The 19855-nt window shown below is 42.8% G+C and overlaps 1 protein-coding gene and 1 pseudogene across 13 annotated transcripts in view, besides 6 other annotated features; one reads left to right on the top strand and one right to left on the bottom strand.

Moving 5' to 3' along the window:
• ZNF429 (zinc finger protein 429) overlaps positions 1-18076 on the bottom strand; it is a 35067-nt gene extending 16991 nt beyond the window's left edge. For 4 of the 13 annotated variants that reach the window (XM_017026748.3, NM_001346915.2, NM_001001415.4 and 1 more), the window contains exon 1: positions 17904-18076. Coding sequence is in view for 2 of the 13 variants with exons in the window: in NM_001001415.4 (NP_001001415.2) it covers positions 17904-17906 (3 nt within the window). In the remaining 11 variants the exon portion in view is untranslated. Of the gene's footprint in view, positions 1-3169; positions 5104-16015; positions 16159-17597 lie in introns of those variants that run through there. The other 9 variants (XM_047438765.1, NM_001346914.2, NM_001346912.2 and 6 more) reach the window with 7 other exon arrangements.
• BNIP3P26 (BCL2 interacting protein 3 pseudogene 26) lies at positions 1782-2332 on the top strand (annotated as a pseudogene).
• Positions 11459-12065: an enhancer, noted in NCBI's record as "H3K27ac-H3K4me1 hESC enhancer chr19:21694415-21695021 (GRCh37/hg19 assembly coordinates)". NCBI's record gives its function as "activates a minimal SCP1, AML or CMV promoter by ChIP-STARR-seq in naive H9 embryonic stem cells {active_cell/tissue: H9 hESC(naive)}" and the evidence as "EXISTENCE:reporter gene assay evidence [ECO:0000049][PMID:30033119]".
• Positions 17091-17692: an enhancer, noted in NCBI's record as "H3K27ac-H3K4me1 hESC enhancer chr19:21688788-21689389 (GRCh37/hg19 assembly coordinates)". NCBI's record gives its function as "activates a minimal SCP1, AML or CMV promoter by ChIP-STARR-seq in naive and primed H9 embryonic stem cells {active_cell/tissue: H9 hESC(naive and primed)}" and the evidence as "EXISTENCE:reporter gene assay evidence [ECO:0000049][PMID:30033119]".
• Positions 17091-17747: a biological region, named in NCBI's record as "H3K27ac-H3K4me1 hESC enhancer GRCh37_chr19:21688788-21689389".
• Positions 17388-17747: an enhancer, noted in NCBI's record as "active region_14387". NCBI's record gives its function as "activates an Ori minimal core promoter by ATAC-STARR-seq in GM12878 lymphoblastoid cells {active_cell/tissue: GM12878}" and the evidence as "EXISTENCE:reporter gene assay evidence [ECO:0000049][PMID:35858748]".
• Positions 17693-18295: an enhancer, noted in NCBI's record as "H3K27ac-H3K4me1 hESC enhancer chr19:21688185-21688787 (GRCh37/hg19 assembly coordinates)". NCBI's record gives its function as "activates a minimal SCP1, AML or CMV promoter by ChIP-STARR-seq in primed H9 embryonic stem cells {active_cell/tissue: H9 hESC(primed)}" and the evidence as "EXISTENCE:reporter gene assay evidence [ECO:0000049][PMID:30033119]".
• Positions 17758-18077: an enhancer, noted in NCBI's record as "active region_14386". NCBI's record gives its function as "activates an Ori minimal core promoter by ATAC-STARR-seq in GM12878 lymphoblastoid cells {active_cell/tissue: GM12878}" and the evidence as "EXISTENCE:reporter gene assay evidence [ECO:0000049][PMID:35858748]".

Raw genomic sequence — 19855 nt, 5'->3', positions numbered from 1 at the left:
AGTGGATTTGCAAAGGCAAAGAGAGAGGGACAGAGTGTGGCCTGATAAAAGGTTGTCTGTGAGAAATTCTTATTTATTTACAGAATTAACATTGATTACTGATTGAGTGTACATCGTTAGGGTTTAGAGTATGGGCTATAGTGTCCAGTGTGGCACTATCAGTTTAATTTATAGCCACTGGTGGCAATAGTAAACAATTTCAAGAGATAACTATATGGTTCAAAGAGGAGAGAAAGACATAATTGTGTTCTCATTTTAATGTCTCTCCGAGTTTGACAACTATTAGGTTGGTGCAAATGTAATTGTGGTTTTTGCCATTACATTAAATGGTAAAACCGCAATAACTTTCGCCCCGACCTAAAAAGAGGATTTGCATTCCTCAGATAAAAGATTTTCTGTTTTCCAAATCTCATGACCTAGATTCAGAATTTCCATCTGCAGATTTAGGTCCTGAATAGGTGGAGTAGCAGTAGCAGATGTTACCTGAACATTTGTGAGCAGTTTACCAAGAGGAGGAAGGGGAAAGTGGAGATTCTCATGTCCACATGTCTACTCAATGCACACGTGTTACTCTGATTTGGTTTCTTGGCTCCATGGTCTCTTAATCAGTTTCAGGTTTGAAGACACAAGAGTCATTGAAAGAGGTAAAATGGTTGATTTCCACCCTGTAACATTTGTACAAATCTAATCCCTCTAGAAGTGACTGTAGAGGACTATAGATAACAAAGAGACATGATTCTGCCTGCATATTTACGGGACAGTATACACTTTTTTTTTTTTTTGAGACAGAGTCTCGCTCTGTTGCCCAGGCTAGAGTGCAATGGCATGATCTTGGCTCAATGCAACCTCTGCCTCCTGGGTTCAAGCAATTCTCCTGTCTCGGCCTCCAAGTAGCTGGGATTGCAGGCACCTGCCATCATGCCCGGCTAATTTTTGTATTTTTTTAGAGACAGGGTTTCACCATGTTGGCCAAGCTGGTCTCAAACTCCTGACCTCAAGGTGATCTGCCCATCTTGGCCTCCCAAAGTGCTGGGATTAGAGATGCCCAGTGACAGCATGCACTTTGCAGCACAACTGTGAGTTGACTGGAAGCCTGAGAGGAAAAGTACCCTCTAGAGTAAAGCCTGGCTGGCACCTAATATGTTTATATCATGTATGGTAATTCTAGATAGTGTTTGGAAAATATAATTAAAAGAAAAATTGTATCCAGCTGCAGAGAAACTCCATAATGATAGAACAAAAGAGTTTTTATATGCAAGTAAACCAGAATGTGACATGCACCACAGTCAATTTGCTTAAGAGACTGCAAAGACAGAAAAATAGTCATTATAATTAGTCCACAAGTGGAAGAACTTACAGCACCATGTCATACAGAGTTTATCCTAAATTTACCTGGTAATTTGAGAGGCCATCTGTGCATGCCAGTGGGTTATAGTCAATGACAAAATAAACTTTTCCTATCTTCACGACAGGAGGTAATATTCCAACTTGAAAGCAGGTGGCTGCTGAAGGTAGGCTCTCACTCTCCTGCAGAAATGGCTGGATGGGGTGCTATCTTTTTGGCTATTTACATTTTAAAGCAATGGCTCCTCTACTCCCTAAGCACTGGGCTAGAGCACTCCTGCTTACCCTCTCCTGATGACGAGTGTCCTCTCGACTCCTACCATCTGCCACTGAAACACAGCTCACAGCACAGGGCTCACAGCTGGCAGCTCACATCATACATGAACCCCAATTGCCATAGCAGCACTCCAGTGCCACATCAGAGAGTAAAGCCTGAGCTGCATGAGGAGATCCTGTAGGCCTCCTGGATAGAATTGTGCCTTCATAATAATGGGAATGGGAGCAGTGTTTCAGCCTCAGTTTCTAGTTATAATTGTGACATTAAAAAATACTGCTGGATTTCCAGGATAAGTGCAGATGCTCCAAGAGTTCTCACTGTGACAGCCCACCTAATTCACACAAACCACAGGATATGAATAGGCCTTCTGAAACAGACAACCAAAGCATGAGAGAGAAAAGCAGCTCTCCATCTCAGCAAGATTCTACTGAGAACAAACTAAGTTAAAAGCATCTTAAGAAGAAAACTCAGATTAGATACAAGATTGATCAAGTAGGCCAGAAAATATTCCCCTAAAAGGAATTTCTCTGAAAACACCCAAAATGCACAGCTATTGTCAGCATGAGAAACATGAGCATTATGAAGAAAAAGGGCATATTCTCAGTAGAATTTCATAAGGTTTTTCTTTCATGTCTGTTGCTCTTTTATCTCCTAGCCATCAAATGGGGGATCTATTGTGAAATACATGTGACAACTTCCACTAGAGCTTTTTGATAAGAACTGGAACCTGACTTTGTTTATATAGTGGAATGTATCTGAGATTGAAACATAGTTAACTAAAGAGCTATTATGGTTTTGGGTGGCCACATCACTCATCATGTTGATTTGTCCTGTAATAGCAGCATTCAAATTTAGTGAAATAAGACACTGAAACCATGCTCACATATAATTAGTCCTTTTGGGGAAACTAATGAGCATTTCAGACTAATATCTACTGTAACAATTTTGTAGTGAGTTTTCCTTTGATGTTAGATACAAATATCTATGTATAAATAATTTTTGTGTACTAGTCATGATGTCTGTAGAACTTTTAAAAATTGTCTGTAACCATAATTCAGTTAAAACACTATATTTCAAAAGTAAAAAGAACAATATTGAAGTGCCTATTTAAGGTATTCAAAGTAAATATTGTGGCCTTATATTCATACTATTATAGAAAATGCTATTAATATGAGTGCAGGTTGTTGACAAACACTACACATAATAACTATGTTAATTGTTCTGAAGTAATAAATAGAAACCAAAGTACAACTACAGATTCCACTTTTCAGTTTATACACTGAACTGCTCTTGCTTTTTCTGTGTAAGTACTTTGGACTGCAAATATCAGATAATTACCCTGGATAATCAGTTTTCTCTCAAAGGAACTTAGTATTTTCTAGTCTTTATTATCTTTGTGCTCAACTTTTGTGTACTCTTAAAATGAGCTTTAATCTAAACAACTCTGTGTCTACTTTACAAGACTAAAAATGAAAAAATAAAATAAAACCTTTCCCAAAGCAAAAACAAAGCAATGGTTATGAGGTCCTAGAGAAAGACAACCTTGAGTCAAAAAAAAATGACAAATGGTTTATTTAGCTGTTACTATGATTTACATATATTTCCAAAAATCAGAGAAAAATATCTACATATAATCTAAATGCTTTAAGAAAAAAGAACAAAATATCTTCCATTATTTTCAGGTAGGAGAATAAAGCCTCTTATTTCTAATTTATATTTTCTCCTACAACAACCAAGTCTCTGGACATGTCCCTGAACCCTTGGACATCTGAATTTTAGGAGACACTGGATTCAGGTATCTAAGGTGTAGCCTTGGGCACCCTGTGTACACTTGAAAGAATGTTTATGAAGGAAAAAGCAGAAGAGAAAAAGGTGTTCTAAAAAAATCCATGGGTGTTGGCTGGGCACAGTGGCTCATGCCTGTAATCCTAGCACTTTGGGAGGCTGAGGCAGGTGGACTGCCTGAGCTCAGGAGTTTGAGACCAGCCTGGCCAAGATGGTGAAACTTCATCTCTACTAAAATACAAACAAAAACCAGCCAAACATGGTGGCAGGTGCCTGTAATCCCAGTTACTCAGTAGGCTGAGGCACGAGAATTGCTTGAACCCAGGAGGTTGCAGTGAGCTGAGTTCATGCCACTGCACTCCAGCCCGGGCAACAAAGTGAAACTGTCTCAAAAAAAAAAAAAAATTCATGGGTGCACATGAATACAGCAAGTTCTTAGAAGACCTATAAAGAGATGTAGATTCTGACACAATAATAGGAGACTACAACACTCCGCAGACACTTAGATCACTGTGTTGTGGGAATTAGGAGACTGGAAAGACCGATAGGTAGAAAAGGAGGATTTTATTGAGTGCACTCAGACCCAGTGGATTAACATCCAGAGACTGGGCCAAGGACAAAGACAGCATTTAACTTTTACATACACTTCTAAAGAGGGTGGGCTAACTTGAAACAAGCCTACAGTGGCACAAAGTGTAGTGATGTGAAAGCAAGGATACAGAAACAGAACAAAAGCAGTTAATCATACTATGACAGGTTTATAACTCAGACTTACATATGACTCTTACTATGTGGCCCAGATGGCTGTTACCTAGGCTTGCTCTAGTGCCTTGCATGGGCTTATCTTATAACCTTCACTATGGTGCCTAGGTGGCTGCAATCCAGGCCTGCTCAGGCATCTCATGACCTTCAATGTGCTGCTTAAATGAAAAACAGGAATCATAAGAGAAAGGAAAATTTGTTTCTCTTCTCCCTATGTTGAGGGAATGCTGGGAGAGTCTCCAGAGCACATTCTTTCCAGCCCTGGCTTCTTAAATAGTGTTATCAAAACTTTTCCTGGATGTGGGCTGTGCCTGTTACTGCCTCTAGGATAAGTCAGCCTAATACAGGAAACCTTGTTTCTTTCTCTTTTTAATTTAATTTTATTTTCTTTAATTTCCCACCTTGAGGCAGAAAATTAGCAGATATCAGAACCTAAACTCAACACTTGACCAAATCATTCTAATAAACATATATGAAACTCTTCATCTGAAACCAACATAGTATATATATCTTTCTCATCACCATGTGTCACATACTCTAAAATTGACCACGCAATCAGAAACACAACAATCCTCAGCAAATTCAATAATCCCAAAATCATACCAAATGCTCACTTAGACCACAACTTGATAAAGATAAAGATATAATACAGGGCTGGGCACGATGGCTCATGCCTGTAATCCCAGCACTTTGGAAGGCTGAGGTGGGCAGATCACGATGTCAGGAGATCGAGACTATCCTGGCTAACACAGTGAAACCCTTTCTCTACTAAAAATAAAAAAATAAAAATTTAGCTGGGCGTGGTGGTGCACATCTGTAGTCCCAGCTACTCAGGAGGCTGAGGCAGGAGAATCACTTGAACCCGGGAGGTGGAAGTTGCTGTGAGCCGAGATGGTGCCATGCACTCCAGCCTGGGCGACAGAGCAAGACTCCATCTCAAAAAAAGAAAAAAAAAGATATAATTCAGTACAAAGAAAAACACTTGAAAACATGCAATTACATGAAAATTAAACAATCTTCATCTGAATGACTTTTGGGTAAATAATGAAATTAAGGCACAAATCAAGAAGTTCTTTAAAACAAATGAGAACAGTGATACAACACACCACCAGAATCTCTCCAACACAGCTAATGTGAGGTTAAAAGGGGAATTTACAGCACTAAATGCTCACATGAAAAAGGTAGAAAGATCTCAATTTAACAACCTAACATCATAAATAAAAGTATAAGAGAAGCAAGAGCAAACCAGCCCCTGAGCTAGCAGAAGACAAGAAATAACCAAAATCAGATCAGAACTGAAGGAGATTTAGACATAAGAAGTCATACAAAAGATCAAGAAATCCAGGAGTTAAATCTTTTAAATAAATCAATAAGATAAACCACTAGCAAGTTTAGTGAAGTAAGAAGAGAAGATTCAAATAAACACAATAAGAAATGACAATGCCTGTAATCCCAGCACTTTGGGAGGCCGAGGTGGGTGGATCACAAGGTCAGGAGATAAGAGACCATCCTGGCTATACCCTGTCTCTACTAAGAATATAAAAAAAAATTAGCCAGGCATGGTGGCGGGTGCCCGTAGTCCCATCTACTCAGGAGGCAGAGGCAGGTGAATGGCGTGAACCTGGGAGACGGAGCTTGCAGTGAGCTGAGATCGAGCCACTGTACTCCAGCCTGGGTGACAGAGCAAGACTCCATATCAAAAAAAAAAAAAAAGGAAATGACAAAAGGGTCATTACTACTGACCCCACAAAAATACAAATAACTACTGAAGTCTACTATAAACATCTCTATGCACACAAACTAAAAAAAAAATCTAAAAGAAATGGATAAATTTCTGGGCAAATACATTCTCCCAATACCAAACAGAAAGAAACTGGAGCCCAGAACAGAACAATAACAAGCTCTAAAATTGAATTAGTAAATAGCCTACCAGCCAAAAAAAGCCTAGGACCCACAGATTCACAGCTGAATTCTACTAGATGTACAAAGAAAAGCTGGTATTATACTTTCTAAAACTACTAAAAAAATTGAGAAGAAACTCTTCCCCTGCTCATTATATAGTAACAGCATCATTCTGATACCAAAACCTGGCAAACATAAAACAAAAAAAAGAAAACTCAGGCAAAAATTCTTCATGAACACTGATGCAAAAATCCTCAATGAAATACTGTAAAATTGAATCCAGCAGCACATCAACAAGCTAATCTGCTATGATCAAGTAGGCTTTATCCCTGGGATGCAAGGTGGGTTCAACATACACAAGTCAATAAATGTGATTCATCACATAAACAGAACTAAAGACAAAAAACACAAGATTATCTCAATAGACGTAGATAAAGCTTTCAATAAAATGTAACATTCTTCATGTTTAGAACCCTAAACAAACCAGGCATTGAAGGTACATACTTCAAAATAGTAAGATATCTGTGACAAATCAACAGCCAACCTGCTGAATGGACGCAAGCTGGAAGCATTTCTTCTTAAAAACTGGCACAAGAAAAGGATGACTTCTCTCACTACTTTTATTCAACATAGAATTGGAAGTCCTGGCTAGAGCAATCAGGCAAGAGAAATAAATAACAGGCATCCCAACAGGAAGAGAGGAAAGGAAACTAACCCTGTTTGCAGATGACATGATTCTATATCTAGAAAACCCTATAGTCTTGGTGCAAAAGCTCTTTAGACTGAAAAACAACTTCAGCAAAGTTTCAGGATACAAAATACATGTACAAAAATCAGCAGCATCTCTGCACATCCACAATATCTGAGCCAAAAACCAAATCAAAAACATAATTCCATTCACAACTGCCACAAAAAGAATAGAATATCTAGAAATACAGCTAACCAGGGTGGTGAAAAATCTCTACGACAAGAACTACAAAACACTTCTTAAAGAAGTCAGAACTAACACAAACAAATCAAAAACTACTTTATGCTCAAGGACAGAAAAAAATCAGTATCATTAAAATAACCATACTGCTCAAAGAAATATACAGAAATAATGCCATTTCTATCAAACTACCAAAAACATTCTTAACACAACTAAAAACTGTTTTTAAATTCATATGGAACAACAAAAAAAGCCCGAAGAGCCAATGCAATCCTAAGCAAAAAGAACAAAGCGGCTGGGCATGGTGGCTCACACCTGTAATCCCAGCACTTTGGGAGGCTGAGGCGGGTGGATCACAAGGTCAGGGGATTGAAGCCATCCTGGCTAACACGGTGAAACCCCGTCCCTACTAAAAATACAATAATAATAATAATAATGATGATGATAGCAGAGCATAGTGGCACATGCTTGTAGTCCCAGCTACTTGGGGGGCTGAGGCAGGAGAATTGCTTGAACCCAGGAGGCAGAGGTTGCAGTGAGCCAAGATTGCTCCACTGCACTCCAGCCTGGGGAATTAAGCGAGACTAGGTCTCAATAAAATAAAAAAAATAAAAAAATTTAAAAAAACAAAAAAACAAAAAACAAAGCTGGAGGCACTGTATCACTTTACCCCACTTCAAACTATATTGCAGGGTGATAGAAACCAAAGCAGCATGGTACTGGTACAAAAGCAGACTCATAGACCAATGCAACAGAATAGAGAGCCCAGAAATAATGCTGCACACCTACGACCATCTGATATTTGACAAAGCTGACAAGAGGAACGTAAGAAGAATTTTCTGTTTAATAAATAGTGCTAGAATAACTAGCTAACATTATGTAGAAGACTGAAACAGCACCCCTTTCTTATACTATATACAAAAATATACTCAAGATTAAGTAAAGACTTAAAAAATACTGGAAGATGACCTAGGAAATACCATTCTAGACATAGGAACTGGCAAAGTTTTATGATGAAGATACCAAAAGCAATTGCAACAAAAGCAAAATTTGATGAATGCAACCTAATTAAAGAGCTTTTTCACAGCAAAAAAACAAAAAACAAAAAACACCACACACAAAAAAAAATCAGAGTAAACAGACAATCTACAGAATAGAAGAAAATATTTGCAAACTATGCTTCTGACAAAGGTCTAATATCCAGAATTCAAAAGGAACTTAAACAAATTTACAAGAAAAAACAACCTTATTAAAAAGTAGGCAAAAAACATGAATAGATGCCATTCTAAAGAAGATATACATGTGGCTAACAAGCATTTGATGAGTATTTCTTTCTTATCACTAATCAGTAGAGAAATGCAAAGAAAAATCACAATGAGATACCATCTCACACCAGTCAGAATGGCTACTATAAAAAAGTAAAAAAAAAAAAAAAAAAAGGCCAGGCACAGTGGCTCACAGTTGTAATCCCAGCACTTTGGGAGGCCAAGGTACGGGGATCACTTCAGGTCAGGAGTTCGAGACCAGTCTGGCCAACATGGAGAAACCCTGTCTCTACTAAAAATACAAAAATTAGACAAGCGTGGTGGTGCATGCCTGTAATCCCAGCTACTTGGGAGGCTGAGGCAGGAGAATCACTTGAATCTGGGAGGTGGAGGCTGCAGTGAGCGGGGATCACGCCACTGCACTCCAGCCTGGGTGACAGAGTGAGACACCATCTCAAAAAATAAAATGAAATAAAACAAAATAAAATAATTTAAAAAAATAAAAATATATATGGTGGCCAGGCACAGTGGCTCATGCCTGTAATCCCAGCACTTTGGGAGGCTGAGGTGGGCAGATCACTTGAGGTCAGGAGTTCGAGACAAGCCTGGCCAACATGGCAAAACCCCGTCTCTACTAAAAATACAAAAATTAGCTGGGTGTGGTGGTGCGTGCCTGTGATCCCAGCTACTTGGGAGGCTGAGGCAGGAGAAATCACTTGAATCTGGGAGGTGGAGGTTGCAGTGAGCCCAGATTGTAAAACTGCACTCCAGCCTGGGTAACAGACCTAGACTCTATCTCAAAAATAAAATAAAAAAATATATATATGTGTGTGTGTGTGTATAAAATATACATGGTATATAAACATCACGGAATGCTGTGTGGTTATTTAAAAAAAAAAGAACAAGATCATGTCCTTTGCAGCAACATGAATGGAGGTGAAGCCCATTATCCTCAGAAAACTAATGCAGAAAAAAGAAACCAAATGCATGTTCTCATTTATAAGAGCTAAATAACAAGCACATATGGACACAAAGAGAGGAACAACAAGCACTGAGGCCTAGTTGAGGGTGGAGGGTAGGAGGACAAAGAGAATAAGAAATACCTGTTTGATGCTATGCTTAGTACCTCAGTGACAAAATAATCTACACTAAACTTCCATGACACAATTTTATCTATATGATAAACCTGCATGTGTACCCCTAGACCAAAAATAAAAGTTAAAAGGAAAAAACTTCATTAGTTGGGGGAGAGTACTATGTAGGTGAAAAGACTGGTTTGTGCTACAGATAATGGTCCAGGTGGGGCTGTACTGATTTATTTCTAGGTCCATGGAGGCAGATGAGATTACAAACAGGTGGCCCAGAACCCTAAGTTGGTGGAGAAAAACAGGTTGCTGTTGCAGATTGTGTCTGGGAGTAGGAATATTCCAGGAGACTTGTAGACACTTTTGTGCATTTCTGGGAAGGAACACTGGGATCAAAAATGCTGTGGTGAAGTTCCTGAGGGTGGTGCTTCATTCTGGGAGGGATGTGGACATGTCAATGTCTAGTGGGTGTGTATGTGAGTGGGTGGGAATCACGTGGTGGCAGCTGCAGGAAAAGGGAGTCTGTCATCAGAGATCGTTCCCTCTAAGTTTTCATCCTCTCTTACCCTAAGAGGACACCTGGAATCACAGGACAATGGGCAGTGTGAAAGCCTGTGTACAGGAGAGCAGAGCCTCCCATTTCCAGATACCAAGAGTTTTATTCCAGGACAGGCCTCTGTGATATCTTTCTTCTGGCACCAAATCTGTAGAGTTTGCTTAACACCAAGCAATTCTCCAACAGCAACTCAATGTCTAACATTTGAATTTGGACACCACCCAGAGTCAGCAGAGACCCAGATTCAGGGCTTGGTCCCACAACATTGTCCTTACTGGAGATGCCAGTCACAAACCCCATGGGCCCATCTATGCTTCTGAGCTGTTTAAAAATTCAGGACTTTCATAACCTCTATGAAGTTTAATAATTGGACAGAGCTACTCAGAGAACTCAGCAAACACTGTAGTTATGTTTACTGGTTTATTATAAAAGATAAAATCCAGGAGAAGTCAAATGGAAGAAATGTATAGGACAAAGAAAAGAGGTGGGAAAATAAAAAGCACGTGGATAATCCGAGAAAACAGCTGTGATTAATAAAATTCTCTATCCTTTGTGTGCCAGAAACAGTTTATGGAAAGAAACCCCATTACCATTAAGACTAAGGGCCGGGTGCAGTGGCTCATGCCTGTAAACCCAGCACTTTTGGAGGCTGAGGCGGGTGAATCATGAGGTCAGGAGATCGAGACCATCCTGGCTGACATAGTGAAACCCTGTCTCTACTGAAAAATAGAAAAAATTAGCCGGGCATGGTGGCAGGCGCCTGTAGTCCCAGCTACTGGGAGGCTGAGGCAGGAGAATGGTGTGAACCCAGGAGGCGGAGCTTGCAGTAAGCCGAGATCACGCCACTGCACTCCAGCGTGCAAGACAGAGTGAGACTCCATCTCAAAAAAAAAAAAAAGACTTAGATGGTGCTCTCTATTCTTACCTGTCACATAAGCCAGACATAGACTCTGCACATTTTCTTCTTGCTCTCATAAAAATGGTAGCTGAATTTGACTTCAGTGGTAAAAATAAAATACTTCTGTCAGAGGCATTTAAACCAGAGCCTATTGGGCTGCATTCCCAAACAGTTAAGGCATTCTTTCCTCCTTTTTTTTTTTTTTTTTTTTTTGAGATGGAGTCTTGCTCTGTCGCCCAGGCAGAATGCAGTGGCGTGATCTCGGGTCACTGTAACCACCACCTCCCCGGTTCAAGTGATTCTCCTGCCTCTGTCTCCCAAGTAGCTGGGATTACAGGCGCCCGCCACCATGCCCAGCTAATTTTTATATTTTTTTTTAGTAGAGATGGGGTTTCATCATGTTGGTCAGGCTGGTCTCGAACTCCTGACCTCAGGTGATCCACCCGCCTCAGCCTTCCAAAGTGCTGAAATTACCGCGCATGGCCCACAGTTAAGGCATTCTAAGTCGCATAATAAGAGGTTGGCACAAGATACAGGTCATAAAGACCTTGCTGATAAAACAGACGGCAGTAAAGGAGCCAGCTAAAACCCACCAAAACCAAGATGGCCCTGAGAGTAACCTCTGATTGTCCTCACTGCCACACTCCCATCAGTGCCATAACAGTTTACAAATGCCAATGCAATATCAGGAAGTTACTCTGTATGGTCTAAAAAGGGGAGGCATGAATAATTCACCCCTTGTTTAGCATATAATCAAGAAATTACCGCTCTCCCTCTCCCTCTCCCCACGGTCTCCCTCTCCCTCTTTCCATGGTCTCCCTCTGATGCTGAGCCGAAGCTGGACTGTACTGCTGCCATCTCAGCTCACTGCAACCTCCCTGCCTGATTCTCCTGCCTCAGCCTGCCGAGTGCCTGCGATTCCAGGCGCGCACCGCCACGCCTGACTGGTTTTCGTATTTTTTTGGTGGAGACGGGGTTTCGCTGTGTTGGCCGGGCTGGTCTCCAGCTCCTAACCGTGAGTGATCCGCCAGCCTCAGCCTCCCAAGGTGCCGGGATTGCAGAAGGAGTCTCATTCACTCAGTGTTCAATGGTGCCCAGGCTGGAGTGCAGTGGCGTGATCTCGGCTCGCTACAACCTCCACCTTCCAGCCGCCTGCCTTGGCCTCCCAAAGTGCCGAGATTGCAGCCTCTGCCCGGCCGCCACCCCGTCTGGGAAGTGAGGAGCGTCTCTGCCTGGCCGCCCATCATCTGGGATGTGAGGAGCCCCTCTGCCTGGCTGCCCAGTCTGGAAAGTGAGGAGCGTCTCTGTCCAGCCGCCATCCCATCTAGGAAGTGAGGAGCGCCTCTTCCCGGCTGCCATCCCATCTAGGAAGTGAGGAGCATCTCTGCCTGGCCACCCATCGTCTGAGATGTGGGGAGCGCCTCTGCCCCACTGCCCCGTCTGGGATGTGAGGAGCGCCTCTGCCCGGCCGTGACCCTGTCTGGGAGGTGAGGAGCGTCTCTGCCCGGCCGCCCAGTCTGAGAAGTGAGGAGACCCTCCGCCTGGCAGCCGTCCCATCTGGGCAGTGAGGAGCGTCTCCGCCCGGCAGCCACCCCATCTGGGAGGGAGGTGGGGGTCAGCCCCCCACCGGGCCAGCCGCCCCGTCCGGGAGGGAGGTGGGGGGTCAGCCCCCGCCCGGCCAGCCGCCCCATCCGGGAGGTGGGGGACTCCTCTGCCTGGCCGCCCCTTCTGGGAAGTGAGGAGCCCCTCTGCCCGGCCACCACCCCGTCTGGGAGGTGTACCCAACAGCTCATTGAGAACGGGTCATGATGACAATGGCGGTTTTGTGGAATAGAAAAGGGGGAAAGGTGGGGAAAAGATTGAGAAATCGGATGGTTGCTGTGTCTGTGTAGAAAGAAGTAGACATGGGAGACTTTTCATTTTGTTCTGTACTAAGAAAAATTCTTCTGCCTTGGGATCCTGTTGATCTATGACCTTACCCCCAACCCTGTGCTCTCTGAAACATATGCTGTGTCCACTCAGGGTAAAATGGATTAAGGGCGGTGCAAGATGTGCTTTGTTAAACAGATGCTTGAAGGCAGCATGCTCGTTAAGAGTCATCACCACTCCCTAATCTCAAGTACCCAGGGACACAAACACTGCGGAAGGCCACAGGGTCCTCTGCCTAGGAAAACCAGAGACCTTTGTTCACTTGTTTATCTGCTGACCTTCCCTCCACTATTGTCCTATGACCCTGCCAAATCCCCCTCTGTGAGAAACACCCAAGAATGATCAATAAAAAAAAATTAAAAAATTAAAAAAAAGAAATTACCATAAAGTGGTCAACCAGCAGCCCTCTGGGATGCTATGTCTGTGAAGTAGCCATTGTTTTATTCCTCTATTTTCTTAATAAACATGCTTCCACTTTACTCTATGAACTCACTCTAAATTCTTTCTTGCGTGTGATCAAAGAACCCTATCTTGGAGCCTGGATTGGGACCACTTTCCTGTACTTCCATATCAGACCTCGCTGAAATTTATCTCCTTCCCAGAGGTTCCTGGACTTTGGGCTGCCCTCCGTCTGAGCCAACATACAACCCCATTCTACTTCCCTTCTAAGAACATGCTGACCTCAGGATAAAACATTCTCTGATCTAGAATCTGATGTTTTTACCGTCCATTTGCCGTTCCCCTCCCATCTTTTTTCTAATCTTGTTTGCTCACCCCTATGAAAGAAAGCCCTTGTCATCACCTGAGGTAAGGACTTCGAGACCAGCCTGGCCAACATGGTGAAACCCCGCCTCTACTAAAAATACAAATGTCAGCCGGGCATGGTCGCGGGCACCTGTAATCCCAGCTACTTGGGAGGCTGAGTAATGAGAATTGCTTGAACCCGGGAGGTGGAGGTTGCAGTAAGCAGAGATCGTGCCACTGCACTCCTGCCTGGGCAACAAGAGCAAGATTCCATCTCAAAAAAAAAAAAATTATTAAAAAAAGAAAAGAAAGGCTTTGTCTGCCTAAACTTTGCAATCCTTAAAGCTCTTATGGTTGGTATTTCCTCCTGTTGCAATACTCCTTGGTAATTCAATTTTCTTTTTTTTATACAAATCTAACTTTGTTCTACTTTACAAAGTCTAAAAACTGTCTCAAAACAAGGACAACTTTATCTTCAGTAAGATCCTCCCAGTTCCCTTCCACCTTAACTGTAACTGTATCTGCCTGTGGGTTCCCAGCTTTCCAGGGCTCTGTAGCTTCTCTCAGGATAAAGCCTCCTTCCATGGCTGGGGTGAGCAGGCAGGGACACCTGCAGGGGAGGCTCCCCAGAAAGAACTAACTGGATCTTAAATAACCTTCTTTTGCAGGCTCAATATTAGCCTTAGCTTGGAGTCACTGGGCTCAAGTTTTAATTTCCGTGTCAGAGTTATTCACTTGGTCTTTGAAACTAAGTGTTCGAAAAATCCAGCAAAATTACTCAATGTTCATATAAAACAAGGCAATTTTACAATGCTTACATTTCATACCTCAATAAGAAAAGCAAAAGTATCTATTCCTTTATAAATGTATTATTTTATTATTTCCATTAAAAAATCATGTAGTAGGCCGGGCAAGGTGGCTCATGCCTGTAATCCTAGCACTTTAGGAGGGGCAGATTGCCAGAGCTCAGGAGTTCGAGACAAGCCTGGGCAACACGGCGAAACCCTGTCTCTACTAAAATACAAAAATAGGCTGGCGCGACAGTGTGCGCCTGTAGTTCCAGCTACTCGGGAGGCTGAGGCAGGAGAATTGCTTGAACCCAGGAGGCAGAAGTTGCAGTGAGCCAAGATCGCACCACTGCACCCCAGCCTTGAGCAAGACTCCATTTCAAAAAAAAAAAAAATGTAGTAAACAATTAGTCATATGGGAACACTTCTAGGAGGCACCAAGTTTCATCTAAAAAATACAGCATTAAACTCTGAAATAAAGATAACAGGATATAGAACAGAGATATTCACTGTCAGAAATTTATCCTGCAAAAACAACTGATGTTTTCATGAATTCATGTAACTCACCTATTATCTACAACATTTTCTTCTGGAAATGCATTCATTTTCTACAGCCAAAATGGAAGAGATTTTTCCCTATTCTTTTCCTTGGTAGCATTCCAAAATCTAAGCCTTGGAATTCTGTTTGAAATCACCCAGCCATAAAAAAAAAAAAGCCTGAGAAAATTTCTAAACTCACTCTAAGAAAGAAAAAGGTACATGAGAATTTTTAACAAAAAAAAAAGATAGATTTTTCTGAAGCCCACCTCTTTTATGCGCTTTGTAAATATTTTCTTACCTTTCAAGCTCTACTAAAAAATTGCAATTTAGAGTTAAAAAACTGAAGTCAATATAAGTGAACAAATCTTTTCAAAGTGACAAACCCAGGGAGTGGCAGTGCTGATAAGAAAACAGATGTGTCCGACTCATGTGTCAAGTTCAATCACTTGAGAGATTCTCCTACCCATCCCGCTCACTTAAGTCACTTAAGTACTCAATAACCACCCTCTCAGGAGACTGCTCTATGTTCCAGTAAGTGTCCCAAGTGCATTTTACTTTGCAATTTCTCGCCTCATCTCACCGGGGTCAGGGTTTCTTTTGTCTTTTGAGATATCACCTTTTTTTTTTTTTTCAGATGGAGTTTCACTCGTGTTGCACAGGCTGGAGTGCAATGGCACGATCTCGGCTCACCGCAACCTCCGCCTCCCGAGTTCTTCTGCCTCAGCCTCCTGAGTAGCTGGGATTACAGGCATGCACCACCACGCCTGGTTAATTTTCTGTTTTTAGTAGAGACGGAATTTCATCATGTTAGCTAGGCTGGTCTCGAACTCCTGACCTCAGGTGATCTGCCCACCTTGGCCTCCCAAAGTGCTGGGATTACAGGCGTGAGCCACCGTGCCTGGCAGAGATACTAGTCTTTTTTCACAAATTGTAGAGAATCAAGGGGTCAGAAATTATTTGTTTTCAACTCAATACCAGCATTTGATTGGGTGACCAGCAATGTGGCCCAAAGAAAGGAAAGTCGGGCTGGGTGAACACAGTCTTAACATCTGAAGGGGTTAGCTTTTCAAACGAAAAGTACACCAGGAGATTCCTCTCAGCCCCAGGGAATACACCTGCTCCCTTCAGAGGCTACACTCCATACCACAGGTTGTCCTATGGGAGAAAATGACCCAGGAATTAATATTCATTAGACAGTCTTGCAGACATAGCCATGACTGATATCTTGGTTTATTCACAGACAGTACTGGAACCCAGGACCAGGAAAAAAACTAAAGGGTGGCTGAGGACACATCACCCCACAAAAATTCCAAGAAAAACCTTGATGCCAAAACATTCTCATAAAATCTCTATGCCTAGGGAAGATAAAAGGAAAAGAGACAAAGATTTTTTTACAATACAGTGTCAGAAGATTATTCCTTGCTTTCTTCTTATGGAAAATATTTATAAACAGAAAACAAATCTTTTTAAATGTGCCATCCAATGCTTTGTCAAAAAATGTTTAATTAAAATACAGTATCAAAAATGTACACTAAAGGACAAATAGTTAATAGTGTGAATTAGGGAGTAGTGGGAGTTGGCATTTGGGATTGTCAGGAGGAAATGGAAATTTTGTATTTTACTGCAAGCCAGAGTTAGGCTGGAGGAATGGGGGGCGTGGGAGTAGATTTGAGACCCTGCTTAGGACACCTGTGAAAAATGCAGGGGAAGATCAGTTTTGTGTAGGGAGTGAAAATAGTTAAGTGGTAGGCAATTCGACTGAGGTGGCTGTAGTCCCTGAATTCCTACTTTTAAAAGATCTAACTCAAGCCGGGAGCCGTGGCTCACGCCTGTAATCCCAGCACTTTGGGAGGCCGAGATGGGCGGATCACCCGAGGTCGGGAGTTCAAGACAAGCCTGACCAACACGGAGAAACCCCGTCTCTACTAAAAATACAAAATTAGCCGGGCGTGGTGGTGCCTGCCTATAATCCCAGCTACTCAGGAGGCTGAGGCAGGAGAATTACTTGAACACGGAGGCGGAAGGTGCAGTGAGCCGAGATCGCGCCACTGCAGTCCAGATTGGGCAAGAAGAGGGAAACTCCATCTCAAAAAAAAAAAAAAAAAAACAAAAAACTAACTCAAATGCTTTTTTTTTTGTAAATTACTACACTGGGGAAAACAAATACAGGGTTAACTATTAACTGGAATTAAGCTCTGATTACATAACCAGGAAATTTTGTAAGCTGAAGATGGAAATTAAGAAACTACGTAACCCTACCTAACCAATAACTGAATTTGCGTTTTTGTACCATGCGCAAAGTCTTTCCTTCAAGCTCCTCCAAAGGACCACAAACTACATCCCACAGCTGGGTGCTTTACAATTTTAGAACCACTCTTTAATTAAATTCTTTAATATTTTGCAGTGACTCCCCTTTTTTTTTTTTTTTTTTGTTTGAGATAGTCTCATTGTGTCAACCAGCCTGGAGTGCAATGGCACAATCTTGGTCTCCTGGGTTTAAGCGATTCTCGTGCCTCAGCCTCCCACATAGCTGGGATTACAGATGCCTGCCACCACATCCGGCTAATTTTTGTATTTTTAGCAGAGAGGGGGTTTCACCATGTTGGCCAGGCTGTTCTCGAATGCCGGACCTCAGTGATCTGCCCGCCTCCCAGCAAACTGCTGGGATTACAGGCATAAGCCACCGCGCCCGGCCACTCCCATAGATTTTTAATAGGAGAGAATGGGAACTGGGAACCCCACGGACCAAAGCTCTTCCCGCTCATGAACCCGCATCCCGAGTCACTATTCTCACCTGACGCCCCTCCCATGGTTCTTGCACAATCTGGGAGAGACTGCGGAATTGCGCGTGCAGAGCTCCCCAGACAGGGCTACACGTCAGGCACAGTCACTGCGGAGGGAAGACAGGACGCCCGGGGCCCGGCTGTCAGCACAGTCGCCATCTTATGGCTGAAGGGGACTGAAGCCGAGCTGGGCAAGGAGAATTCCGGGCGCAGATTGTGGAGCTGACTGCCGGGAGACCTAAGTCCGCCACGGCCACTTCTCACGGTTCCGACCAGCCCCTCCCCCTCTCTGGGGATGTCAGACTCGGCACTCTCACCATTTCTAGGCTTCCAGGGGGTCCTGGAGTCTTAGCTGTGTATCTCCCAATATCTGCGGGTCACAGGGCCACACAGGCTGGGCCTCTAAGAACAAAGGACACAGAAATGAAGACGAGACCTGGAGCTCTGGCTGCAGCAAGAGCCAAACGCCCCGCCATATTCCGGAAACCGTCCTGTCGCTCCAGCTGCGTGCCTGATTGGATAATGTTTAAGACCCGCCCTCTCAGGCCCTGAGTGACAGAGGGTGATCAGTTGCTGGGCAGAATGAAGCGTGACAGCCTAGCTGCAGCCTTTTCAGGCAGGCTTTCCTCCGAGCTGAGCCAGGCCCACCCTAGAGGGTGTTTGCATTGAACCTTGTGTGTAAGGTCATATGCATTTATAAATATACTATATGGCTAGTCACAAATGAAAAGAATATAATAACAATTACTTTTAAATTTTAGCTTTTATCACCTTCCTAGCTTCTGGTCCTTTGAGCAGGCAGCCTGAGATTTTAAAAAGGAGGCAGTCCTCTGAAATAAAATGTGAGCCACATGTGAATTTTTAATTTTCCAGTAGCCAAACTTTAAAAAGAAACATGAAACACGTGGAATTGATTGTAATAATGTAACTAACCCAATATGTTTAAAGTATTATAATTTTAATATGTGAGCAATGTGAAAGGAAAATATCTTGGGCCCCCAAAATTACTAAGGAAAACTCAAGCTGGGAACTAAAGGCCAATCAGAAACTCAAAAGAATTTGAGTCCACCTATCTGTGACCTGGAAGCTCCCTCCAGCTTCGTGTCTTCCTGCCTTTGCTTCAAGTTGTCCCACCTTTTCAGACTGAACCAATGTACTTCTTACATATATTGATTGATGTCTCATGTCTCCCTAAAATGTATAAAACCAATATGTTCCCTGACCACCTTGGGCAGGTGTCCTCAAGACTTCCTGAAACTATGTCATAGGCGTGTTCTCAACCTTGGCAAAATAAACTTTCTAAATTAACTGATGTCTCAGATTTTCTGGGGTCACAGCAATATGTAATTATTAAGGCACTATATATATTTTTGGAACTAAATCTTCGAAACCAACTCTGTATTTTACTTTTCTAGCAAATTGCAGTTCAGACCAGGCACATTCCAGGCACCCAGGAGCCACACATGGCCAACAGCCACCACGTTGAAGTGCAGCTCTGATGTCAGGTGGGTGGAGGCCCTGAACATCCCTTTTCTGCCAGAGGTGAGGAGACAGCCTCTCTCTACTAACATCTATCTTCGGTTCTGAGGGTGCGATAGATAGTGGCCATAGCAAGGGCAGAGGGCAGCACAAATAAAATAACCACAGGTAGACCACTCTTTGCCACCTGTTGTCCACCTTTCATCCAGAGATCAGACAGTGAACAAAAAATTCTGGGGCCACAGGAGACAGGAGAAGAAAACTCTATGTCTTTGGGTCTGTCCACAGTCTTAACCTCTAACTTTAAGATATGAAGAAGGCCGGGCGCGGTGGCTCACGCCTGTAATCCCAGCACTTTGGGAGGCCGAGGTGGGCGGATCACGAGGTCGGAAGATCGAGACCATCCTGGCTAACACGGTGAAACCCTGTCTCTACTTAAAAAATAGAAAAAATTAGCCGGGCGTGGTGGCGAGCGCCTGTAGTCCCAGCTACTCTGGAGGCTGAGGCAGGAGAATGGCTTGAACCCGGGAGGCAGAGCTTGCAGCGAGCCGAGATCGCGCCACTGCACTCCAGCCTGGGGGACAGAGCGAGACTCCGTCTCGGAAAAAAAAAAAAAAAAAAAAAAAAAAAGATATGAAGAAAATAAATTAAAGGCAAACTTATTTTGCTGTTTGGCCTTGGCTCTAATGGTCAGGCTGTGGTTATCTGTTTTTTTCCTGTGGTGTGGGGTACTGTGTGAGTATAAGCACCAATCACACACATACATGTCTACCTGTATTTCTGCATTACT

The sequence above is a fragment of the Homo sapiens genome, chromosome 19, assembly GCF_000001405.40.
Source record: "Homo sapiens chromosome 19, GRCh38.p14 Primary Assembly".
Taxonomy (NCBI): Eukaryota; Metazoa; Chordata; class Mammalia; order Primates; family Hominidae; genus Homo; species Homo sapiens.
Note: the sequence above shows the minus strand (reverse complement) of the source record. Positions and strands in the feature narration are given on the sequence as shown.